This window comes from Homo sapiens, chromosome 16 (assembly GCF_000001405.40).
Source record: "Homo sapiens chromosome 16, GRCh38.p14 Primary Assembly".
NCBI lineage: Eukaryota > Metazoa > Chordata > Mammalia > Primates > Hominidae > Homo > Homo sapiens.
In genome coordinates this window covers 19,838,583-19,864,301 of record NC_000016.10, presented here as the reverse complement: position 1 = coordinate 19,864,301, position 25,719 = coordinate 19,838,583, and the positions used below count along the sequence as shown (strand labels likewise).

The 25,719-nt window shown below is 45.0% G+C and overlaps 2 protein-coding genes across 10 annotated transcripts in view, besides 5 other annotated features; one reads left to right on the top strand and one right to left on the bottom strand.

Annotated features, from left to right (window-relative positions):
- The window catches only part of GPRC5B (G protein-coupled receptor class C group 5 member B), a 28,944-nt gene extending 21,333 nt beyond the window's left edge, over window positions 1–7,611 (top strand). The window contains exons 3-4 of one of the 2 annotated variants that reach the window (NM_016235.3): window positions 2,329–2,465; window positions 3,758–7,611. In NM_016235.3, the coding sequence (NP_057319.1) occupies window positions 2,329–2,465; window positions 3,758–3,802 (182 nt within the window). In that variant the 3' untranslated portion in view covers window positions 3,803–7,611. The remainder of the gene's footprint in view (window positions 1–2,328; window positions 2,466–3,757) is intronic. The other variant, NM_001304771.1, reaches the window with a different exon arrangement.
- Window positions 1,901–2,481: an enhancer, noted in NCBI's record as "H3K27ac-H3K4me1 hESC enhancer chr16:19873143-19873723 (GRCh37/hg19 assembly coordinates)". NCBI's record gives its function as "activates a minimal SCP1, AML or CMV promoter by ChIP-STARR-seq in primed H9 embryonic stem cells {active_cell/tissue: H9 hESC(primed)}" and the evidence as "EXISTENCE:reporter gene assay evidence [ECO:0000049][PMID:30033119]".
- Window positions 3,062–3,643: an enhancer, noted in NCBI's record as "OCT4-NANOG-H3K27ac-H3K4me1 hESC enhancer chr16:19871981-19872562 (GRCh37/hg19 assembly coordinates)". NCBI's record gives its function as "activates a minimal SCP1, AML or CMV promoter by ChIP-STARR-seq in primed H9 embryonic stem cells {active_cell/tissue: H9 hESC(primed)}" and the evidence as "EXISTENCE:reporter gene assay evidence [ECO:0000049][PMID:30033119]".
- Window positions 4,917–6,116: an enhancer, noted in NCBI's record as "BRD4-independent group 4 enhancer chr16:19869508-19870707 (GRCh37/hg19 assembly coordinates)". NCBI's record gives its function as "activates an origin of replication core promoter dependent on BRD2, P300/CBP, MED14 and CDK7 cofactors, and independent of BRD4, by STARR-seq in HCT116 cells {active_cell/tissue: HCT116}" and the evidence as "EXISTENCE:reporter gene assay evidence [ECO:0000049][PMID:35650434]".
- IQCK (IQ motif containing K) overlaps window positions 5,835–25,719 on the bottom strand; it is a 140,197-nt gene continuing 120,312 nt past the window's right edge. For 7 of the 8 annotated variants that reach the window (NR_130967.3, NR_130968.3, NM_001394805.1 and 4 more), the window contains one exon: window positions 5,835–7,815. Coding sequence is in view for 6 of the 8 variants with exons in the window: in NM_001394805.1 (NP_001381734.1) it covers window positions 7,754–7,815 (62 nt within the window). In the remaining 2 variants the exon portion in view is untranslated. The remainder of the gene's footprint in view (window positions 7,816–25,719) is intronic. The other variant, NM_001394804.1, reaches the window with a different exon arrangement.
- Window positions 9,267–10,186: an enhancer, noted in NCBI's record as "NANOG-H3K27ac-H3K4me1 hESC enhancer chr16:19865438-19866357 (GRCh37/hg19 assembly coordinates)". NCBI's record gives its function as "activates a minimal SCP1, AML or CMV promoter by ChIP-STARR-seq in naive and primed H9 embryonic stem cells {active_cell/tissue: H9 hESC(naive and primed)}" and the evidence as "EXISTENCE:reporter gene assay evidence [ECO:0000049][PMID:30033119]".
- Window positions 10,187–11,105: an enhancer, noted in NCBI's record as "NANOG-H3K27ac-H3K4me1 hESC enhancer chr16:19864519-19865437 (GRCh37/hg19 assembly coordinates)". NCBI's record gives its function as "activates a minimal SCP1, AML or CMV promoter by ChIP-STARR-seq in primed H9 embryonic stem cells {active_cell/tissue: H9 hESC(primed)}" and the evidence as "EXISTENCE:reporter gene assay evidence [ECO:0000049][PMID:30033119]".

Sequence of the window (25,719 nt, the reverse complement as noted above, 5' to 3'; positions counted from 1 at the left end):
TGTCAGATCTCATTAGGGCCAAGGCCTATTTAAAACAACTTTTTGCTTCTTGCTAGAAGGCCCCGAGTTGGCTTTGGGGGCAAGGCCAGCCTGGCATCACATGCAGGGTCTATGCAAGAAAAGGCTGGCATCCAGCCATTTGAGCTTTGATTCCTAAGGGGACCTCTTGTCTTAGGAGAGGTCCTAAGCAAGGTGGGTGAGCCTGGCTTGCCTTTGTCTCTGGCCCAGGTGTGGGTAGGGTGTTAGTTGGGCTTCTTGAAGTAAGTTGCAAGTAATAAAAAATCCAATGTGAGTAGGCTAAAGCAGCTGTCCCCAAACTTTTTGGCACCACGGACAATCTTTCCATGGATCAAGGTTGCGGGGGGGTTGGGGGGCGGTTTCAGGATGAAACTGTTCCACCTTAGATTGTCAAGCATTAGATTCTCATAAGAAGCGTGCAACCTAGATCCCTCACATCCACAATTCACAGTAGGGTTTGAGGTCCTATAAGAATCGAATGCCAGCTGGGCACAGTGACTCATGCCTGTAATCCCAGCACTTTGGGAGGCCGAGGTGGGTGGATCACTTGGTCAGGAGTTTGACACCAGCTTGGCCAACATGGTGAAACCCTGTCTCTACTAAAAACACAAAAATTAGCTGGGCATGGTGGCACGTGCTTGTGGTCCTAGCTACTTTACTCAGGAGGCTGAGGCAGGAGAATCGCTGGAATCTGGCAGGTGGAGGTTGCAGTGAGCCGAGATTGCACCACTGCACTCCAGCCTGGGCGACAGAGCGAGACTCTTGTCTCAAAAAAAAAAAAAAAAAAAAAAAGAACACAGATTCCTTGCCTGGGTCCCAATGCTGACTGTGCCCCTTACCAGCTGTGTGACCTTGGGCCCCAAGCAAAGTGCCCCAAGCAAAGTGGACATAATGAAAGTACATATAGTCAGCCTGGGCAACAAAGTGAGACCCCGTCTCTAAAAAAAAATATTAAAAAATTAGCCACGCATGGTGGCATGTGTCTGTAGTCCCAGCTACTCTGGAGGTTGAGGCAGGAGGACCACTTGAGCCTGGGAGTTCAAGGCTGCAGTGAGCTATGATCGTGCCACTGCATTCTAGCCTGGACAACAGCAATAACTTGTCAAAAAAAAAAAAAGTAGCTATCGTGCGATGAAAATTAAATGAGTTGAAAAGAAAGAAAGAAAATTAAATGAGTTAATGGTTAATATATATAAAGTACTTTGCACAGTGCCTGGCTCCTGGTTGGCGCTCTGTGAAGCTTAACTGTATAACTAAGGTGATTTTGGTCCCTGCCCCAAGTAATTTGCAAAACAAACAAACAAAAGCAAAAACAAGCTCTCTTGTTGCTTTTTAGCCAGAAAAGTGGCTCCCTTCAGGGAAGACTTTTTGTGTGTGAGACACAATTTCACCAGGCTGGAGTGCAGTGGTGCAATCTTGGCTCACTGCAACCTTAACCTCCCGGGTTCAAGCGATTCTTGTGCTGCAGCCTCCCGAGTAGCTGGGATTACAGGTGTGCACCACCATACCCGGCTAATTTTTGTATTATTAGTAGAGGGGGTTTTGCCATGTTGGCCAGGCTGGTCTCGAACTCCTGACCTCAAGTGATCCACCCGCCTTGGCCTCCCAAAATGCTAGGATTAGGGATTACAGGCTTGAGCCACTGCGCCCGGCTTCTACCCTTTTTTTTTGTTTGTTAGATTCCTCCATGTCTTTTCATGTTAGCTTTTCTTTAACAAAAAGGAAGTTCAAATCTCTAAAAGTTCAGTAAATAAGAAACACCGGTTTTACCCATCTTTCAGAGGGAAAAAGTGCCGACATGCCATCTTGGCTTTAGGTCTCCCTTTTATTCTTGTTTGGAATAACCCTACACATGTGGTTAGAGTCCCCCTGTTCTCATCCCTGGTCACTTTCCAGTGAAGACTCTTAGCAGCTTCCTCCTCAGTGTGTGTCCAGAAACAGCAAGCAGTTTTGAGTAGTGTGATGCTGAACTTTACATGAATGGCTTTCTGTAGTGAGAAGGCGCCTGTCACCCGCGGCCTGCAGAGGCTGCGTGGCTTGGAGGGGGAACCAGAGGCCCAACCATGGGCCTCCTTCCCCTGGTCTCTACAGCAGCTTTTCCCAAACCCACTGAGATGGGTCAGGCTCCTAGAGAGCCTGAGAACAAAGCCCCTTTGTGACTTTTGTTTTGAATCAGGCTTGTGACAAAGGGGAGGAGCCACTGGGTTGGGTGGATGGGGGTGCCCGGAGCGCGCTGTTGTTGCAGGGGAAGAAAACAAAATTGTGTCTTTTTTTTGGCAATGTTGTCTTGCCAATCCCTCCCTCCCCCAGCTCTCCGAACAGCAGGATTTCCCAACGGCAGCTTGGGAAAAAGACCCAGTGGCAGCTTGGGGAAAAGACCCAGCGCTCCGTTTAGAAGCAACGTGTATCAGCCAACTGAGATGGCCGTCGTGCTCAACGGTGGGACCGTAAGTATCAAGATGTGATGTGGGGGTAGGAAGCCTAGGAGTCTACGGTGTCGGGGAGCAGCTTCAACAGGGACATACTCCTCCATGGAGGCTGCCCATGTGGCCTGCAAGGACCGCCACAGCTCAAACGCATGCAATGCTTTTATTTTTCTTCTTTCCCTTTCTACCCCTTTTCTCCACACACAGAATACCCACCTCTATTTAGAAAACCATCTGTAGATTCGTTTGAAAGAGTTTGTAATCCTTGAGGCTGTTGGACCCAGTGAATTATTTGGCTTTCACTCTGTCCCTGGGAGGTGACTTTTGGAAAAAGCCCAGAATGATGGAGCGCCCCTAGCAGATTTTGCTGACATCCAGCCTAGTTTAAGGTCCCCGGTCACCCCTCTGTTGACTCCTCCCCAGCTGGGTACCAGGTTCTCCCATTCCCTAAGAGATGTCTTAAGAAATTGAAGCAGTTACTGTTTCTCTCCCTCAAACACAGAAGCAGGTTTACTACTATCTGATGCCAAACAGACCTTCAGCAGAATTGTCATTGTTTACGTTTGCCTCCTTGGAATGACACCATTTTGTTTCTCCAGCAATCCAAAGATGCACTCTCATCTCCACATTTAATTTCCAAACATAGCTACATGCTTCTTTCAGAAACAAGGTCTGAGCCAGTTTACATGTGTAAATTGGGTTTCCATTCTTTATATCATGTTCCAACTCCATAACTCAACCTGAGCATTCTTCTTTTTTTTTTTTTTTTTATGTAAATCAGGGATGGTCTTTGATCTCTAGAGGGAATTTAGGTTTTCCTGGCCTTTTGAATGGTATGCTAGGCATTGGTTTGCATTGGTTTGGAACAGGCTCAAAGACAGAATCACAGATTTGCATTCTTAAAACCCCCTGCCAACGACTGGGCTGTTTTATTGTCCCGAGCCAAGAAAAGCCTGATTCACAAGCATTCGGCCTGTGTGTTATAATAAATATGCTTAGAAAAGCCCCCATCCGTCACTCTTAAGCCCTCCTGGTTCCTTCAAGGCCAGTGTGTGAAAAAATAGTCAAGACTGAAAGTGAATGAGTTGAACTTACATTCCTTACGGGTGGATGGTTATAGAAAAGGGAGCTGGGCTTCCCAAGAACCACAGCAGCATGACTCACAGTCATTGCTGCCTCTCCTGGGAATTATTCGACCCATCTAGGTAAAAGCAAGGTAACTTATTTTTGCCGCGTTGTTTACGCATCGGTTTCTAGTGTTGACTTTGCAAAGCACAGAGTTCTCAGTGTGTTATCCTTATGTGTTATTCCAGATCCCAACTGCTCCGCCAAGTCACACAGGAAGACACCTTTGGTGAAAGACTTTAAGTTCCAGAGAATCAGAATTTCTCTTACCGATTTGCCTCCCTGGCTGTGTCTTTCTTGAGGGAGAAATCGGTAACAGTTGCCGAACCAGGCCGCCTCACAGCCAGGAAATTTGGAAATCCTAGCCAAGGGGATTTCGTGTAAATGTGAACACTGACGAACTGAAAAGCTAACACCGACTGCCCGCCCCTCCCCTGCCACACACACAGACACGTAATACCAGACCAACCTCAATCCCCGCAAACTAAAGCAAAGCTAATTGCAAATAGTATTAGGCTCACTGGAAAATGTGGCTGGGAAGACTGTTTCATCCTCTGGGGGTAGAACAGAACCAAATTCACAGCTGGTGGGCCAGACTGGTGTTGGTTGGAGGTGGGGGGCTCCCACTCTTATCACCTCTCCCCAGCAAGTGCTGGACCCCAGGTAGCCTCTTGGAGATGACCGTTGCGTTGAGGACAAATGGGGACTTTGCCACCGGCTTGCCTGGTGGTTTGCACATTTCAGGGGGGTCAGGAGAGTTAAGGAGGTTGTGGGTGGGATTCCAAGGTGAGGCCCAACTGAATCGTGGGGTGAGCTTTATAGCCAGTAGAGGTGGAGGGACCCTGGCATGTGCCAAAGAAGAGGCCCTCTGGGTGATGAAGTGACCATCACATTTGGAAAGTGATCAACCACTGTTCCTTCTATGGGGCTCTTGCTCTAGTGTCTATGGTGAGAACACAGGCCCCGCCCCTTCCCTTGTAGAGCCATAGAAATATTCTGGCTTGGGGCAGCAGTCCCTTCTTCCCTTGATCATCTCGCCCTGTTCCTACACTTACGGGTGTATCTCCAAATCCTCTCCCAATTTTATTCCCTTATTCATTTCAAGAGCTCCAATGGGGTCTCCAGCTGAAAGCCCCTCCGGGAGGCAGGTTGGAAGGCAGGCACCACGGCAGGTTTTCCGCGATGATGTCACCTAGCAGGGCTTCAGGGGTTCCCACTAGGATGCAGAGATGACCTCTCGCTGCCTCACAAGCAGTGACACCTCGGGTCCTTTCCGTTGCTATGGTGAAAATTCCTGGATGGAATGGATCACATGAGGGTTTCTTGTTGCTTTTGGAGGGTGTGGGGGATATTTTGTTTTGGTTTTTCTGCAGGTTCCATGAAAACAGCCCTTTTCCAAGCCCATTGTTTCTGTCATGGTTTCCATCTGTCCTGAGCAAGTCATTCCTTTGTTATTTAGCATTTCGAACATCTCGGCCATTCAAAGCCCCCATGTTCTCTGCACTGTTTGGCCAGCATAACCTCTAGCATCGATTCAAAGCAGAGTTTTAACCTGACGGCATGGAATGTATAAATGAGGGTGGGTCCTTCTGCAGATACTCTAATCACTACATTGCTTTTTCTATAAAACTACCCATAAGCCTTTAACCTTTAAAGAAAAATGAAAAAGGTTAGTGTTTGGGGGCCGGGGGAGGACTGACCGCTTCATAAGCCAGTACGTCTGAGCTGAGTATGTTTCAATAAACCTTTTGATATTTCTCAAGGCCCTAGTCTCTGCTGTCTCCCCTCCCCACCCCATCCTTGCAAAGCACTGGGGAAAGTAAGGCCAATCTGGCCCTCCCTGTGTGACCCGCCTTCGAGTTTTCCTTAACAGTTAGTACATTTCCTTGTGTTACCACGCATGGGGAAGAAAACGCATGGCCCCAGAATGCCACCCCCACCTGACCTCCCCGGAAGCACCCCGCCTCTGCCCAGAGCATGTGCTTGCTTCTAGAGAATCCCGTTCCAGTCATTGCGTGGACAGAAAACGTAAGAGTCCTGGGGAGGGGTGGGAGGGAATGAAGCTAGGACCTGGGGTGGGGGTGGGGGCGGTTGCATGCGGACCCGGTATTCTGAAAAGAAAGAAATCTTCAAACACCTCGGTCCTGTCCGGTGAAAAAACGACAGCATTACACATTCTCGTGCCAGGAAATGGTTACTCACCCCCGCTCTCTGGAGTCCTTTGGAGCTTTCTGATACCATTCACACGATGGAGCAATTCACACGTTCGTTTTCTAAGTTCTTTATTGTCCAAGCATATAAGGTGAGCACAGCACAAATGGCTGCCATGGAAAGTCGTGCTTCCCCAGCATAAGAACAGAGCCATCTTTGAGCCATGGGAAGCCTCATTTAATGAGACCTTTTTCCCCCCTTTTAAATCTGATATGTTATCGCACTTAGGGTTTTGTTTTATTTTGGCTTTTAAGGTTGAGAGTGGGCTGAACGCCTTCATAATGGGGGCGGAGGCGGGAGTGAGAGGAGAAGGGAGAGAGCTGTTCTTTTTCTAATGACTACACCTGAAAAGTATCAAGAGACATCTTTGCCAAGAGACTGTAGCAGCCAGCTGCCCCCCGTGGAGCAAGGTTTAAAGACAAAATTAAATGGCACCTCTGTTTAAGATCTGCGTGTGTAAACAAGACTCGTTTGGGGAAAACGACCCGGGAGGAGAGCATCTGTGATCAAAATCTCTCATTGTAAGCACAAATTGTTCCGTGTCTGGTTATTAAAATCGCTTTGGGTCTATAACAGCCACTCTTGTCCCCCCTTTTAATAGAAAATTGTCATTCTAGCCTGGATTTCTCCCCACTGGAGGTGGAGGGTGGGAAGAGAAGGGAGTCAGCTCTGACAGCTTACAAACTGGGAAGTTCTGTGCATCTCCAGGGATTCCAGAGTTGAAGATCTGGTTGTTGGAAGCTGGGCGCCCAGTGCTTTTTTTTTTTTTTTTTTTTAGCCCAGATGCCGTCAGGACCCACTGAACAAGGGTGAACTCGGGTGGTGGTCTCGGTTGGCCAAGGCTGAGTTGAACGCCTCAGGCCAAACCCCAAGTTGAAAGGGAGCATTGTGGCTTTTATAATCCAATGATGCAATGATGATACCAGCTTACAGGAGTTCTCAGCAGGTGCTTTTTATTAACTGATGAAGAGCTAAGGCTCACTTTTGATAGATAATATATATTTATTAAATGCATTAATGTGTGTTTTATAATGTACCTTTATCTTCCCCCGGCTGACTGTTGCATACTTATAAAAAAGAAGTTAAAGAAATTTCAAGACAATCAATATGTACCATAAACGACTATATAAATATTACAAATTTAAAAGGCTGTAAACCATGGGCAGATAGGTTTTATTTTCAAAATGCTGTTCTTAACACAAAAATAAAGGCTTTACTATTTACTTAAGACGTGTGGTAGCTTGTCAAAACAACCCAGTGCAACTAACTACTAGGCTTTCGGATCTGCCTTGAGGGTCGGTCTGTGGCATTTTAAATGGGAGAATCTTGGTTAACAGCAAACCACAGAACATATTAAGGTAATAAGTTTACCCATAAAAGCAGGAACTTTCTATATAATACTTTGGGACTTAGACAACAAAAATCCTTTGTTACATCTGTCTGGGTTTAAGTGTCTCATCTTGTTGGGTTTGCAGTAAAAGTTAAGGAGTGGTCTCCTTTGGAAATGATCATTAAGTATAAGGTCTTTTTTATAAAGAGAGTAGTCAGTCACTAGGTAAACTTAAAACCAAATTCAGAGGTTGGGGACTTAAATTAGAATATGGATCTTTGCAAAGGCGGCCACAAGTGGGAAAACTGGTAATAAGAGCACTTCTGTATTCCTTGGGACTAGAGTTCATTGTACATTTTAACAGCAGCTGGTGTAGAAGAATACTCCTGAGGCACTGAAGAAGTAATCTGGATGAATGAATAAAATGTGGGGATAATGCAGAAAGTGAAGACTGGTCCTTTCTTTTCTAAACTATTTGCATTAAAGCTTGTTTGCAATGAATCCTATCTTGTACAGAAAAGATTCCATTTGCACATGTTCCAAGTCTTGTTAAAGAAATCACAAGAGAGAGAGCATCATTTGGACATTTTCCTTGCACAAGGTAACTTGTGCTCGAATGGGCAAAGATACGTCTTAGCTATGGTTAAGATGATGGAATTTTCATCTTGGCTGCAGGTACTGCATCGTCCTCCATTTTGCATTTCACTGCAAAGAAAAGAAAGGGAAAGTCAGGATCAATTTACATACGTAGACAGGCTTGTCATTGGGAAACCGGAAACTCTGATGTGTGGACAAGGTCAGTTGCACCAAAACCCACTGTGCGCCTGCTATTCATGGTTCCGGCCCCATGGATCCACGGGGAAGAACACAGGCCCATTGTGCTCTAAGGACAGCACCTGAAAGTTCAAAACCACTTCCCGGACTGTTCATGGCCATTCTTAATTCAGTTCAGAAAGAGGTCAGAAGTGTGCTTTGCCGGTCAGGGTACTGAAGGAAGGCAATTTTACTAAAGACGATGACAGATTCCAGGCTCTCCGCTCAACCCCATCTGTCACCACACACCCTGTTCTCCAGCCACCCAAAATGGAAAACTCAGGGTATCACTGGGGGCAATGCAAAGGTCTGAAGAAAATCTTTTCTCTTATGTCATGGTCTGGACCAAGAACCTGATCTCGGTGATTTCCTGTGTCTGCCAAACAGGAAAGTTAGCTCCATACAGGGTATGGCTCTGTGTGTAAGGGGAATTAATCCCAACAGATAAAAGCCTCTCCCCAATTAAATATGGAAACCCAGTCCCTTGGTGGGTGCAGTAGGGATCCTTTTGGAAAGACCCTCTCTTTTAATATATCTTTGTCTGGAGTGTCCAAGTGCTGCTTGCCCATATGTGAATGTCTTGAAAGGTGGTTTGAGCCAGGCCACAGGTTCTGATGATTTGTGGAGAGCATTGTTCTGGTAAAAAGGGTGTTTGAGCTTGTTACTATGTAGGGCTGAGGTTTCAAGTGAACCTGCCCTCGTCCTGACCTCCCAGCAACTAAGGGCATGCACCAGCCAGATGCGGCAAAGAGGTGGGTATGTACACCATCCCATGAAATGCACTTTTTTGTTTTTTTGGGGACAGAGTCTCTCTTGTCCAGGCTGGAGTGCAGTGGCAAGATCTCGGCACACTGCAACCTCCGCCTCGCAGGTTCAAGCGATTCTCCTGCCTCAGCATCCCAAGTAGCTACAGGCGTGCACCACCACGCCCTGCTACTTTTTGTATTTTTAGTAGAGATGGGTTTCCCAATGTTGCCCAGGCTGGTCTCGAACTCCCAGCCTCAAGTGATCCACCCGCCTCAGCCTCCCAAAGTGCTGGGGTTACAGGTGTGAGCCACTGCGCCTGGCCCTGTGGTTATTTTCTGATGGAGGTGGGATGAGGGCCTTCAGCAACACAGACCAGCCCTGCAGTCTTCAAACTGAGGGCAAGGGTTCTTGGTCATGGTTCATTCAAAGGAAATCAATTTCCAGATCATCAGCTTCCCACCCTCCTGTCATTCCTGGCCCAGTGTGTAAAGACTCCCCAGGTGCCAAACAAGAAGGCAGTTCAAAATGAGGGCCCTCAGAGTCTCCTTATTTTCTATGTTTGACAACTATCAAATTGTATCATGTATTTATTTGGTTTTGCGTACTACTAATCATTGTATTAGCAACACAAATCAGAAAAAAATATTTTTAATACTTGGAGCCTGTGGTCACAGGACATTTTAAAACATTTTTTCAAGGTATATACCTTTTTTATTCCATTTATATGGAAGCTCTATGGGCAACCACAGTGAAAACCCTATGTGCTTCTAGACCCTACTAACGATGACATTGACTCTTCATAGTCAAGGATGCGCCACACCTCCCTAAAGACTGTCCCACTAGCTGTGATTAACAGCTCCCCAGGGATTGGGGGAGAGTCCCGAGTTGTATCATTTGCCATTTCCATAGCCTATTGGAAGCCAGCAGCCTGACAACGTAACAGAGTTGGGAAGAGGTGCGCACAGTCAGATGGAGCGGGGCTGCCCTGGATCCCCCCAGGGAGGTACACAGGTCAACTAGTGCAGCCAGCATCAGGCATAACTTCAGACCTGCAGGCTGGCTCTCTAGGGACAAATTGGGGACATCTGCAATAGGGGGAAATTGTTAGAAATGCAAATTCAGGGCCCTTTTCCAGGCAGACAGAACCAGACACTGGGGGTGGAGCCCATCCATCTGCATTTTAACAAGGCCTCCAGGTGATTCTGATGGATCAGGCTGGGTCTCTAGGGACAAGTTGGGGACATTTGCAATAGGGGGAAATTGTTAGAAATGCAAATTCAGGGCCCTTTTCCAGGCAGAGAGAACCAGACACTGGGGGTGGAGCCCACCCATCTACAGTTTAACAAGGCCTCCAGGTGATTCTGATGGATGCTAGTTAAAGTTTGAGAACCACTGATTACTGGTTTTCTACCCTGGCTGCTTGTAAGAATCACATGGTCAGCTTCTGAAATTTATTGGTGCCTGGGTTTCACTCCAGCAATTCTGATGTAACTACCCTGGGGCCTGGGCATCAGTAGCTAGGTAAAGCTCCTGTGTGTTGCTAAGGTTCAGCCAGGGTTGAGACACAGATGGGGCTTAGAATCCCTTTAAAGAAACGTGACTGTAGGACCCTGAAGAGTCTAGAATTCCCCTCAACTTATTAACATCATGCTGGCTGCCTGTGAGTCTCACAGTTTAAGCTGCTAGAGAGAGAGTTGGCAGACAGGCTGGGCACAGTGGCTCACGCCTATAATCCCAGCACTCTGGGAGGCCGAGGCACGTGGGTCACTTGAGGTCAGGGGTTCGAGACCAGCCTGGCCAACATGGTGAAACCCTGTCTACTAAAATTACAAAAATTAGCTGGGCGTGGTGGCAGGCGCCTGTTAATCCCAGCTACTTGGGAGCCTGAGGCAGGAGAATCGCTTGAAGGGAGGCAGAGGGTGCAGTGAGCCAAGATCGTGTTACTGCACTCCAGCCTGGGTGGCAGAGCAAGACTGTCTCAAAAAAAGAAAAAGAGAGAGAGAGATAGCTGGCAGACAGACAGATGCTGGAGGCAATTAATAGCTGGAGGGAAGGACTGGCTTCTGGGAGAATTCCCCAGCCCTTGGGTTTTCTTTAGTTTTCTTCAACTGCCTGAAGGAAGAATTCACCTGCAAGCTGTTGTCCTGGTATTTTACCCAATTCCTGTCCATACCTTGACAACCTTGTTGCCTACTCCCTACGTGTTGACCTTGCTTGGGAAAAAGCCCCTTAGTATCTCTTTAGATCATCACTCAGAAATCTTGACAGAGGAGAGCAGAAAGGAATGAGCTAGGGACCTTGTTCATGGGGGAGGACCGAGAGGTGTTATCTCGAGTTGACGGGCTGGAAATCAAGGTGTGACGTGGAGCCTCCCAGTGGAATTACCTGGGGATTTCTGAACACCCTACACAATTAGGTCACCATCTCTGGAGGCACAACTACACTGGAAAACTGCTTGGCGTTACCAAATGGAACTGAGTCTGACAGTGAATACAAATGATTCCACTCCCGTATCCCACTGCAGAAACCCTTCCATACGTGTACTGGGAGGATGCTCGTGATAGCAAAACCTGGACACAACCCAAATGTCCATCAGCAGTTGACTGGATAAACCAATTGTGGTCTACTTGACCAGTGATTATACAACACTGAACATGAGTGAGCCGAAGCCACACGCATCAACTTGGATTAGCTCAAAAATGTTGAAGGAGGCCGCGTGCGGTGGCTCACGCCTGTAATCCCAGCACATTGGGAGGCTGAGGCGGGCAGATCACGAGATCAGGAGATCAAGACCATCCTGGCTAACACGGTGAAACCCCGTCTCTACTAAAAACACAAAAAATTAGCCGGGCATGGTGGCGGGCACCTGTAGTCCCAGCTACTCGGGAGGCTGAGGCAGGAGAATGGCGTGAACCCAGGAGGCGGAGCTTGCAGTAAGCCAAGATCGCGTCACTGCACTCCAGCCTGGGCGACAGGGCGAGACTCCATCTCAAAAAAAAAAAAAAAAAAAAAGTTGAAGGAAAGATGAGAGGCACGGAATAATACATATAGTGTGATTCTATTTATAGCAAATCTAAATGCTGAGAGATGCATACAAACGTGAAAAGAGCTCCAAAGAAAAGCAAGAGAACAGCTATCATGATAGTCAGAGAAGTGGCTTCATGGGGGAAGAGCTTTAAAACTGTTGACAGTGTTCTGTTTGTTTGTTTGTTTGTTTGTTTGTTAAATGTTGTAGAGAGGTCTCGCTTTGTTGCCCAGGCTGGAGTGCAGTGGTGCGATCATAGCTCCCTGCAGCCTCTGGAGGCTTGTGGAGGCTCAAGCGATCCTCCACAAATGTTTTTATTTATTGTTATATGTGTTTTATAGCCACTGTTGTACGCATATTTCACCCCCCAAAAGGTAAAAAGAAATAGGTATGTTCGTGTATTGCTTGAAATTACAAAGCCAACCAATAAAGGCATGGAAAAGAATGATTTAGCTGTTTTGAGGAGGGGAGGGATGGAATCTAAGCTAACCCTCACCTATCATGGCAGGAAATCAGTAGATCCTATTGAAAATCTTATTACCATAGAGACCTGTTCCAGATACAGAAGTAACACCCCGAGGAGCAGCTGAAGTTCAAAGTCATTGCCTCTGGGGATGCACTACTTTGCTAAAAATTAAGCAAGAGATAAAATCTCGACTTGGTGGTCTTCCTCCTCCTGGTCTTAGCAGAACACAGCCTTGCACAGGTAGGTACTTGATCAGCGGAGGGAGGAAAAGGGGAGGGAAGCAGGGGTGAGAGGCAGGAGAGAAGAAGTAAGCCAGGATGCTGTAGAATGCAGCTTCCACCTTAGCTCGGAGACATCATCGTGGTTGGCTTCCAACACCAACAGACAGATGCCTCGGCACCCCTATGCTGTCCTTGTCCCTCTCAGCAGGCTGGTGCCCAGCCAGTTCCGGAAGGGCTGGGAGAGTGGAAAATCCCAGAGAGAGATACGCCAGCCCTTCAGCTTCAATTAAAGGCAATGTGACAAGAAGGGCCTTGCATACTAATAAGACTCAGTACATCTTCTCCTCGTGGTCGCCCTTATCCTCTCCTGTTCCTGTGAGTGACAGGACTGAGAATTCAATTCACAGCCCAGAGAAAAACCTCCCAGCCAGCAGCACAGGACAGATAAAGAAAATGCCTAAAGCTCAAGACAGGAAATTTGGGGACCACAGGGTCATCCGGCCACTCATACAATGTTGTCCAGACAGGGCCTCAGCATGAAAGGATGACCTGGGGTGAAAATATAGATTCCTGGGCCCCACCCCAGACCTTTAGAAACAGAATCTCCAGGAGTGAGGCCTGGGAATCAGTATCCCCTCCCCCTCAGTGCTGTGGGTGGGTGTTTTGATCTGGCAAGTTTGGGAAAGAGAGCAGATTTGGGCAAGTTTGGGAAACAGTGCCTGTTTCCTGAGGGCCTCAGTCAACTGTGAGCCAGGGTTGAGAATGGCACCTGCCTCCTAAGGGCGCTGAGAGAAGCAAAAGAGGCAAGCTGTGCAAAATGCAAAGTGCTCAGCACTGGTTCTGACCCAGAGTTAGGCACTTGATAAATATCAGCTATTATTATTCGCGTTTTTATTGAGACCAGGTCTCGCTCTGTTACCCAGGCTGGAAAGCAGTGGTGCAAATCAGGGCTCACTGCAGTCTCAACCTCCTGGGCTCAAATGGTCCTTCCACTTCAGCCTCCTAAGTATTAATAGCTGGGACCACACACACGCACCACCATGCCTGGCTAATATATTTTTATTTTGGGTTGAGATAGGGTCTTGCTATGTTGCCCAGCCTAGTCTCTAACTCCTGGGCTCAAGCAGTCCTCCTGCCTCAGCCTCCCAAGATGATAGGGTCACAGGTGTGAGCCACAGCACCCAGCCAGCTATTATTTTGCTTAGGGCATATTCTTTGCCCTCAAAGAGGTCACAGTATAGAAGGTGAGGCAGAAAAAATCAACAGGAAATTGTACGAACCACGAGATGCTCACATACTGCGGGGAGAACTTGCTTCAATAGATGACCATCTGCCACGCAGCTATGGACCACAACCGTGCTGGGGCCTGGGGTTACAAGGAGGAGACTGGCTCACGCTCCCAAATCAGCAATATCTATGAGAAACCTTAAAATGTTCATCTTTTACTCAATTAGCTCCCGATTTCTAGGATTCCAGGTAAATAATAAAAGCAAACACTTCTATGGTACTTATGAAGCCCTTGACACATACGAAGTCATAGTGAGCTAAGTGCTATTATTTTCCCCAGTTTTACAGGTAGGGAGACTGAAGCAGAGACAGGTCATGCAACTTGCTCAAGGTTACGCTGTGAGCTGTCTGGCTGCTGCTGCTCTTAAAACTCTACAGGGTCAAGATCTCACAACTGCCTCCCACCAGGACAGCAAAAATGTCTGTGATTAAAGAAGCAACAATGATGTTACGCAGACAAAGGTGTTCACTTCCGCATCCTCTACCACATAAACAGTTTGAGAACAACCTAAATGCCCAAAAGTCAGGGAATGATTAAGTATCTGACAACCTATAACCTTGATGTGATGTAATATAATGAAGCCATAAAAACATGATGTTTTGGCAAAGTGTAAAAACAGGGAGAAATGTCAGTGGGAAAATACGGTGCAGCACATTTCCTATAAATTTCCATTATGCAAATTTGAAATTGTTCAATACCAAGTTAATCATGTCTCCAAGGAGTACAAGGATGGCACGAGGGCATGGAGGCTTCTGTCTGTTAGAGCTGGAAGCCTAACAGATATAAACTGGGCTCCTTCATTTAATCATCCCTGCCTTCCTTTCTTTTCTTTCATTCCTTCTTTTTCTTTTCTTTTTCTTTTTTTTTTTCAGAGACAGGGTGTCATTCTGTTGCCCAGGCTGAAGTACATGGTGCAATCACAGCTCACTGCAGTCTTGACTTCCTGGGCTCAAGTGATCCTCCTGCCTCAGCCTCCCAAGTGGCTGGGGCTACAGGTGTGCACCACCATGCCCGAATATTTTTTTTACTTTTTGTAGAGATGGGATCTCACTATGTTGTCCAGGCTGGTCTCGAACTGCTGGGCTTAAGTGATCCTACTGTCTTGGCCTCCCAAAGCGCTGAGATTACAGGTATGAGCCACCGCACCCAGCCCCTGCCTTTCTAAAGAAAAAAAAAAGTTTACTTTTTAAAATTTTTATTTTTTTAGAACAAGTGACTCCTATTCCACATTCATTCTTGGGTGAGATTTTCATAATACATCACTTAAGTGTAACTGCCCTGTAGAAAATTACATTCATTACGTCCAAAATTACATCTATTGCTCAACTAAGTTATAACCCAGCATCTCAAATACATAAAAAAAAAAAAAACCTGAACATAGATGTAATGATTGAAAGGAAACTGCTGAATTTTTGTTTTCCTGAATGTTCTACAGTATACCTGTATTGCTATACAACTGGGGGAAACTTTCTAAAAGAATCACCAGAAAATATACCAGACAAAAGAAAAAGACCCTCAGGGTAATCAACACCTAAACAGTATTGCTGCAATTAGAGCCCAAAGATGGGAGAAAGGCAGGAAGGATGAGAAATGGTGTCAAGTGGCCAATCAGAAGCTGCAGGGGAAACTCCCCGATCATCAGATCCAGGGTGGGGTGACAGTGACAAGAGATCCACCCACAAGTGGAGTGGCCTTAGTAGGGGTGACCATTCACAGAAATAATTATGAAATGTTTGCTAGGAAAAGTTTCTGATTAGCAAATTTCTAGGAAAATAACGTTTCCTCCTCAATGTGCTTGCTAATAAAAGGGTACACTTTGGCATCAAGCAGACGCAGTATTCAAATCCTGGCTCTGCCACTTAAAAGCTGGATGATACCCCACCTCTGCCCCCAGCCTCAATTTCCTCATTTGAGCTATAGGTATAATAATCTCCACTTCACAGAGTCCTTATGAAGATTAAAGATGATCCATTCAAAGTGCCTGGTACACTGTACCAGTGGTACTGGTGGCACCAGTATGTGGCACATGAAGAAGGTACTCAAGAAATGTGGTTTCCTTTCCCCCCAGGTGGACTGCAGGAATATAAGCTGAATTGCTGCTAAGTAGTTCATTTAGCATCTTTTAAAATTCATAAGATGTCACTCATCTGAACGTTACTTATCTTTGCAAACTCAGGTATCAAACACAGCCAAGAACTTGAAAGTAAACAGAAGAAGCCAATGTGGATGTTCCGGAATGTATTCCCCAAACTCAGAGCATGGGTGCTCATTCTTTAAACATCATTCTGGCAAGTTGACCTATCAGATATCCCAATGGCAGAAAGGAATTTAGGAATGAAATACGGTCCCAATGGCTGATAAGCACATAAAAAGGTGTGCAACGTCATTAGTCATTAAGGAAATTAAAGCCACGATGAGACAGCCACCACACACCCACCAGAATGGTTAAAATGAAAAAGAAGACTCATCACACTCATTGTTGGTAAAGATGCAGACTGCTCGTGCATCACTGATGGGGATGTAAAATGGTACAGCCACTTTGGAAAACGAGTTGGAAATATCTTAGAATTAAACATATAACCCAGCAACTCCAAATCCACAGCTGAAGTGAGTATTTACATCGGTCAAAAAACAGATCCAGGAGTGTTCAAAGCAGCAGCATTGGGCCAGGTGTGGTGGCGCATGCCTATAATCCCAGCACTTTGGGAGGCCAAGGCTGGAGGATGGCTCAAGCCCAGGAGTTCAAGGCTGCAGTGAGCTATGATTGCACCACTGCACTCCAGCTTGGAAAACAGAGTGAGAGACCCTATCTCTAAAAATAATAATAAAATCAACAAAGTAGCAGCATTTTTCATAATAGCCAAAGGTGGATATAACCCAATAATCCATTAAAAAGTGACTGGATTCACAGCTTGTGACGATAATCATACAAAGGAATGCTACAACAGCAACACGACAATACAAGATCAACTGAGTGCTACCCCTCAACAAGTTAGCTGCATCTCCCAGACATAATGTTCAGCAGAAGACACAGACGCCAGACACAAAGGAGTTCATTCTGTGTTTTCCAGTTAGGCAGAGAAGAAGCAAAACTACTCTATGGTGAAAGGAGTCAGAACAGAGTTTACCTCAAGGGAAGGGGACACCGCGTGGGGCATGAGGGAGCTGGCTGGGGGCCGCCCATGTTCACTATCTGGATCCAGGCGGTGGTTGGGTTGGATTCATGCACAGAATTTCACGGAGCACTGCACTGTGACCGGTGTACCCCACTGTATGTGAGTGCCACCTCAATCACAAAAAATAAAATAGGAACAATGGGGAGGAAGAGAACAGACACAAAAATGTGCCCACCTTTTTAGTCAGATCCTCAAAGAGTCTTACACACCCAAGAGGGTCCCTATGGACAATATCATAGAATTAATCAGGAAATTTGCACTAGCCAGATGCTGGACACTAGGCTCAGGGCTTTACCTACCTTAATTATCTCATACAATTCTCCCAACCACCCTGGGAGGTAGATGCTATCCTCATTTTCATTTTACTGACTGAGAAATTGAGGCTCAGAGATACTAAGCAACGTGCCCAAGGTCACAGAGTTAAGTAAATGGCCACACCAAGATTCTGATCTTGGTATCTTTTGACTCCAAAACCCATGGTCTTAACCATCATCTGACACCACCTTGGAGTAAGAATTGGTCCCTAAAGTTAGAAAGGCAGGGGAGTGTATTATATATATTACCGAGATTTTATTTTTCCATGAAGAGCAATACATTATAGAAAATTCGAAGAATACAGGAAAAAAAGAAAAAAAAAATCTATGCCCCTCTGCCCCCAACTAGAAGAACAAATTGTGGAAGATTCCTTTCTACAAAGAAATACATGTTGACATTCAGGGCGTAAATGTCAGTAGCCTGGTAAATTTACCTCCATTTCTTGACAGTACCAGATGCTGTGTTGCATTATTTTTGGGAAAATTAAGCCAACTTGGAAGCCACAAGGCATTCCGGGAGAACGTGACAGCCTTGAATGAGCAGTAATTGCAGCTTTCTGTTGTTGACTTCCAAACAGTTACTAAAGTTAATCCAGAGCAAAGTCTCCTTGAAGGCAGTATTTTAAATGGAAACATTTGGCGTGGGAGTGGCAACATTGGTTATATTGAGACAGAACCATGGGATTATCAAGGTTTGACCCCGTAAAGGGTCTTGATTCCTGGAAAAAGAGAGATTCAATAAAAGGCTTGTTTTTAATAGGTGAAAACTGAGGTATTGACAGGGGAAGGAAGCCACCAAATCAAACCTAGCAATGGAGCCATCCAAGCACAGCTTAGCTGCTTAGAGCACACCACTTGGGAGAAGGCAGCTCCGGCTTTGAATCCTACCACCATTTACCAACTGGGTGGCCTGAACAAGTCTCTCAACATCTTGGAAGCCTCAGCTCTCTCATCCATAAAAGGAGGATAGGAAGACTTTCCTTTTGGTAGAATTCAAGGATGAAACGAAATGGTACATATTGTATGGCACATAATAAATATTCAATAAAATTATTATTATTTTTTGAGATGGGGTCTCGCTCTATTGCCCAGGCTGGAGTGCAGTGATGTGATCTCAGCTCACTGCAGCCTCTGCCTCCTGGGCTCAGGTGATCCCCCCCACCTCAGCCTCCCAAGTAACTGGGACCACAGGTATGCACCACCACGCCTGGCTAATTTTTTGTGTCCTTGGTAGAGATGGGGTTTCACCATGTTGCTTAGGCTGGTCTCGAACTCCTGAGCTCAAGTGATCCGCCCGCCTCAGCCTCCCAAACTGCTGGGATTACAGGCATGAGCCACCATGCCCGGCTATAAAATTATTTGTTATCACACAAGTAATGCAGTTACTGCAGAAAAACTGGAAAATATAATATTTTAAAACAAATATTTAAGCAGGTTTTCTTTAAATCATTGAGTAAGCCTTAGTTTATGTGTTATTCATATGTATTTATAGATCTATTCGTATTTTCTTTCTATATCTCAATTTACAAGGGTAACTCCATTTTGCAATTAGCTGAAATACATTAAGATTGGAGTTTTAGTGCTGCAGTTTAAACAGCCACCATCTGGTTGTCCTTCGAAATTCTGTGTCTTCAAAAGCCGAGTGAGTCATGGGTGTGAATGAACACAGACAAACCCCATCAGCCGTGTCTTATGACTTTTTTATTTATCACTGCATTCTCAGCTGCCGCTGCCCAAACTGAACCTTTAGAAATATCCCAGGCATTCTGAATGAGTTTAGGGTATAAACTGTTAGCCAGTTCAGACTGGCAGAAGCTCTGTATATTATATGCTGCCTTTAAGAACAACAGAGACAAACCCTCCAGTTTATTTTTAAACAGCTCCTCTACAAGGGTAACAAATTAATAAACAATTGAGAAATTATTTCAATCTGTACTTAGGGATTGCGAGACAAGATTCACTCATCTTGATGGCTGACTCAGAACCCAGGGCAGATAGGGCTAACATCAAGAAACTCCAAGGAGTAAGAAACTAAACTGGCAGGGCGTGGTGGCTCACACTTGTAATCCCAGCACTTTGGGAGGCCGAGGCGGGCTGATCTCTTGAGCCCAGGAGTTCGAGACCAGCCTGGGCAATGTGGCGAAACCTCTACAAAAACTACAAAAATTAGTCAGGCATGGTGACGTGTGCCTGTAGTCCCAGCTACTAGGGAGGCTGAGGTGGGAGGATCACTTTAGCCCAGCAGGCAGCGGTTGCAGTGAGCCAAGATTGTGCCACTGTGCTACAATCTGGGGGACACAGCAAGACCCTGTCTCAAAAACAAAACAAAACAAAACAAAAAACTTCCCATCCCCTTTCTTCATGTTTGGTAAGGTGTTTGTTGTTGTTGTTGTTATTGTTTTTACCAAACATGAAGAAAGAGGATGGGAATTAACATCCTTTGAGTTTCAACCGGCGTTCTTTCTAACAGGAAGCCCCCGGTCCACTGAAAAGAAAACACGAACGTTTTCAACCACTTACTACGATGAGAAATACATTTATCTACAAACAAAGCTACATTTTTAGAAAAGATCACTGATCTCATCTATGTCATTTTTGCCCCTTAAATGTCTCCTAAATCTGTCCACTTTTGTCTGTTCTTACTGCCACCGGGTCATCCGACCCATCTCCAATGTGCCCCATACTCTTCTTTCCTATAAAGCCCTCCTGATGCTGTGTGGCCCAGCTGAAATTGGGTTCAACTCTGAAGTCTTCAACAAGGCCGGCCAGACACAGTGGCTCACATCTGTAATCCCAGCACTTTGGGAGGCCAAGGCGGGCGGATCACCTGAGGTCAGGAGTTCAACACCGCCGGGCCAACATAGTGAAACCCTGTCACTACTAAAAATACAAAAATTAGCCGGGCGTGGTGGCAGGTGCCTGTAATCCTAGCTACTTGGGAGGCTGAAGTGGGAGAATCCCTTGAGCCTGGGAGGTGGAGCTTGCAGTGAGCCGAGGTCGTGCCACTGCACTCCAGCCTGGGTGACAGAGCCAGACCCTGTCTCAAAAAAAAAAAAAAAAGCAAGCATATGAGTACACAAAACCTTGTACATGAATATTCATAGCAGCATTATTCATAATAGCCAAAAAGTGGAAACAATTCAAATGCCCATCAATTGATTAATGGATAAGTGAGATGTGATACCTTCATACAATGGAATATTACTCAGCCATGCTACAGACTGAGTTATGTCCCTCAGAATTCATATGATGAAGCCTTAACTCCCACCATCTAACTGTATTGGAGATAGGACCTTTAAGGAGGTGATTAAGGTTAAGGGTATATACCTGATCTGGTAGAACTGGTACCCTTACAAGAAGAAGAAGTAGAGACACCAGAGAGCTCCCTCTCCCATGTGATGACCCAGCAAGAAGGTGGCTGTCTGCAAGCCGGGAAGAGAGCCCTCACTAGAACCTGACCATGCTGGTTCCTTGATCTCAGACTTACAGTCTCCAGAACTATGAGAGAAGAAATGTCTGTTGTTTAAACTGTCAAGTCTGTGGTATTTTATTATGGCAGCCTGAGCTGACTAATACAAGCTGTAAAAAGGAGTAAAGTACTGACACATGCTACAGCATGGATAAACTTTGCAAACATTGTGCTGAGTGAAAGAAGTCAGTCACAAAGGATTACATATTGAATGATTCCATTTATATGAACTGTCCAGACCAGGCAAATCCATAAAGAGACAGAGTAGATTAGTGGTTGTCTGGGGCTGGGAGGATTGGAAGTCTTGGGAGATAATGGCTAAAGGGTGTAGGGTTTCTTCTGGGGGTGATGAAAATGTGCTAAAATTCATTTAGTGATGGTTGCAAATTCTGTGACATCTGTAGTATCTGTGATATACTAAAAGCCATTGAGTTGTACACTTTGAATTGCATGATATATGAATTATATCTCAATAAAACTTTTAAAAAAAGAAAGATGACATTTCAATAATGGTCATCTCTAGGCGGTGAGACAGAATCACCCACTTTTTTGTTTAGTTTTCTACAAAGAGCAAGTATTACTTCTACAATCAGTTAAGAAGAAAGTTATTTTTAACAATTCTGTTAAAACAAATGCCAGCCCTATTCTCCTTGTCAACAAAGCTGATAAAACTTACACCTTTGCAAGAGTCAGATATGCTCTAATGACAACTCCCCCGGGCCAGGCTTCCCAGTGTTTAATGTTCTTCCCCATACATTATCTCATCTGAGATTCACAAGCTGTCTGTGTTATAAGCAAGGAAAACAACTGTTTTCCTCCTGAATGTATTTACATCCTGCTTCCTTCCTTAAAAGATTTGAGATAATTTATAATAAAAGATGGTAAATCAAAACAGAAAAAGAAAACCAAGCGTGAAGAGAAATGGAGAATTTAGATATGCTAACTATAGCGTTTAAGACGTTGCTATAAATGAGTTTCACATTGAACTCTGAGCATCCTGGCCAACAAGGCACAAAGGGAAAGTCAGGGAAGAAGCAAACCATTTTCAAGGGAAGCAACATTTTTCCTGGCACCATTTGCTGGATGACATTTCACATACGGATTTATTTTTGAAAAGGATTTAATGGATTTTGACCCAAAGAAAAAATTTTACAGAAGATGTTAAAGTACATTAATATGGTTATTTCCCAAGGTACCTTGGTTTGTAAGCCAAAGACACACCACCTTGGCAAATTCAGGGAAAATCTAAAACCATGGGAACCAAATTTATAATCTAACTTAGTGGTTTTCATATATTTAAACTGCCACCTTCAACTTAAAAAATATGTTTTACATTGCTTTTACAATGCACAAACACATCTCAAACAAATATTTCTCCAAAAAGTATTTCCCTTACAATAAGCAAAGCATGTTGATATGTTCTCTATATTGTACTTCATTTTTCAAAATGTTTTTGGCAACCCATTAATTGATTTCACCACTCAGTGGGAAAAGACACTGCTCTAAAATGATTCAAAAATGATATGGGGCCGGGTGTGGTGGTTCACACCTGTAATCCCAGCATTTTGGGATACTGAGGTGGGCAGATCACCTGAGGTCAGGAGTTCGAGACCAGCCTGGCCAACATGGTGAAACCCTGTCTCTACTAAAAATACAAAAATGTGCTAGGCGTGGTGGTGGGCACCTGTAATCCCAGCTACTCAGGAGGCTGAGGCAGGAGAATTGCCTGAACCCAGGAGGTGGAGGTTGCAGTGAGCTGAGATCGCACCACTGAACTCCAGCTTGGGTGACAAGAACAAAACTGCGTCTCAAAAAAAAAAAAAAAGATGGCTTACAATGGTAGACACTGATCATTATTGATCACCTAATGTTTATGAGGCATTGGACTAAGCATATTCATTACAAGCATTATCTCATTTTGGAATCCAGCGAGAGGGATGCTTTTATTTCCATTGTACAGGTGAAAAAACCGAAAGCTAGAAGAGTTAAGTAACTTGTTCAAGGTCACATAGCCAGTAAGAATTTGTAGGTGAAATTAGCTCAAGTTGTTGTTGTTTTAACACAAATAAACTTGTCTCTCAGTTGGGTTTTCAGGGAGAGTGTTAATTTCATTCTGCATCTAAAAGATGAGTGATCAGGAAGGTTAAGTGCCTTGCTCAAGGACACACAGCTAGGAAGTTGCCAGCCAGGGTTCCAATGCAGGTCTTGGGACTCTAAGCCTAGGACTCTTTCTACTATTATTAGCTGCTCATCCTGAACAGCTTCAAATGTCACTTTGAAACCTCTTAAGTGACAAGTCTCTGGATGCCACGAGAAGAAAATGAGGGCAATTCCAATGCACGTGGCAACAGTAGGGCTCATGCAAAAGATTCCTTAGTCTCCCCCATCTCCCTCCTACTCAGATCTGGCAAAGTAAGGCATTTTTGAAAAGGTTTCGTAGCCACCAAAGTATTACCAGTGACAGTGAGGTGGGTACCTTTTTTAGATCTCTTGCTACTATTCTGTGTTTTTCATAATGAGAATGTATTGCTTTGATATGGGGACAGGTTTTAAATTATTTTTAAAAAGATAATTTAAAAGAGATAATGAGAGTTGAATATGAAAACTGGCAAGACGCTTTAGCTGTTCACATCCTAAATTTAGATCCTAAGGGTGAACACCATGTGTCAACAGCCTTGGACTGGTGCTCACAGAGAGAAGCAGGGACAATTTGGTGGGCGGGATCGTTACTCTTTAAGGCAGGCTCACAGGCATAAAGAAGCATGTGCTTCATGCCCTTGGCAATGCAACCAGAAGTCCTAATGGACTTTGCAGGAAACTGAACACCAACAGATTTCTCTTGAGTGTTTGAACTCCATAAATAACATCTGTGCATTGCAGCCTAATGAGGAGAGAGAGAGGGAGGACTCTGGAGTCAAGCTGCTTGGTTCTGCTATGTTTTTGCTGTGTGGCCCCAGATATACTGTTTGACCTCTCTCTGCCTCAGTTTCTTCATCTATAAAATGGAGACCATAGCAGTAACTACTTCAAAGGTGTAAAGAATAATTGAGTTGCTACTAGTAAAGTGCTTGGGAAAATGCTTGCCTCATAGTAAGTGCACAATGAATGTAAACAAACACTCCTTTTTATTATTTTTAGAAATTATGGATAATCGAAAAAGAAAAATAATCACTTGCATTTCTGTTTTAGAAAAAAAGGCAAAAATCAATCAACTCATCAATCGCCTGCATTACAACCACCCAGAGATAATCACTATTAGCATCTGGGGATTATATTTTAATGGACTTTTTGTCTTTCTTTCTTTATTATTATTTTTTGAAACGGAGTCTCGCTCTGTCGCCCAGGCTGGAGTGCAATGGTGCGATCTTGGCTCACTGCAACCTCCACCTCCCGGGTTTAAGCGATTCTCCTGCTTCAGCCTTCTAAGTAGCTGAGATTACAGGTGCCTGCCACCACACCTAGCTAATTTTTGTATTTTTAGTAGAGACAGGGTTTCACCATGTTGCCCAGGCTGGTCTTGAACTCCTGATCTCAGGTGATCCACCAGCCTTGGCCTCCCAAAGTCCTGAGATTACAGGCGGTCTTTATCCATTTATATATTATATGTAAGCATATATCTTCCCTTAATTTTTTTTTTTTTTGGAAACAGTTCTGTTTGCTTTATTTTTCTTTTTTTGGAGACAGGGTCTTGCTCTGTCTCCCAGGCTGGAGTGCAGTGGCACAACCATAGCTCACGGCAGCCTCAACCTCCTGAGCTTTAAGAGGTCCTCCTGCTTCAGCCTCCTGAGCAGCTGGGTCTACAGGCATGCACCACGCTACCCAGTTATTTATTTTTTATTTTTTTAGTGGATACAGGGTCTCTTAACACTGCCCAGGCTAGTCTCGAACTTTTCAAGTGATCCTCCCAACTTGGCCTCCCAAAGTGCTGGGATTACAGGTGTGAGCCACTGTGTCCAGCCTCAGTTCTGTTTACTTGCCCATAGAGCGTTTGGCAAGCTGGCTGATCTGGGAAGGAGGTTATGTAACACAGATCCATTCATTCAACCAACAAGTATTCCTTGACTGTCTACCATGTGCTGGGCACTGTTCTAGATGCTGAGGACAGAGCAATGAACAAAATAGGAAAGAAAGGTCCCTGCTGTCAGAGAACTTACATTCTAGTGCAGTCACATAGACAATAAACAAAATAAATCATTAAAATCCTGGGTGACTGGCCGGGTGTGGTGGCTCACACCTGTAATCCCAGCACTTTGGGAAGCCGAGGAGGGTGGATCACTTGTGGTCAGGAGTTCGAGACCAGCCTGGCCAACATAGTAAAACCTCATTGCTATTAAAAATACAAAAATTAGCAGGGTGTGATGGCGTGCGCCTGTAATCCCAGCTACTCGGGAGGCTGAGGCAGGAGGAACCCTTGAACCCTGGAGGTGGAGGTTGCAGTGAGCCAAGATCATGCCATTGCACTCCATCCTGGGTGACAGAGTGAGACCCTATCTCCAAAATAAATAAATAAATAAATAAATAAATAAATTTTCTCAGTTCTGCCACTTCAAAGCTGTGTGACCAAAGGTGAATGATTTAACCTCTGAGACACAGTTTCCTCCCCTGAAAGATAGAGGCAATAATAGCTTCCTTTTTTTTTTTTTTTTTTTTTTTTGCTATGGAGTCTCACTCTGTGGCCCAGGCTGGAGTGCAGTGGCGTGATCTTGCCTCACTGCAACCTCTGCCTCCTAGGTTCGAGCAATTCTGCAGTCCCAGCCTCCCGAGTAGCTGGGATTACAGGCACCTGCCATCATGCCTGGCTAATTATTGTATTTTTAGTAGAGACAGGGTTTCACCATGTTGGCCAGGCTGGTCTCGAACTCCTAACCTCAAATGATCTGCCCACCTCGGCCTCCCAAAGAGCTGGGATTACAGGCATGAACCACTGTGCCCGGCTGGGCAATAATAATTTCTACTCATTCTGTTTGCTGTGAAGATTAGAAATAATATATGCAAAGTGCCTGGCGTGTAGTTGGCACTCTAAATCAGAGCTGCTATGAGGATTGCGGATCTTTGCAGACACGCAACGTTTGGCAGCCACAGGTAGGCAA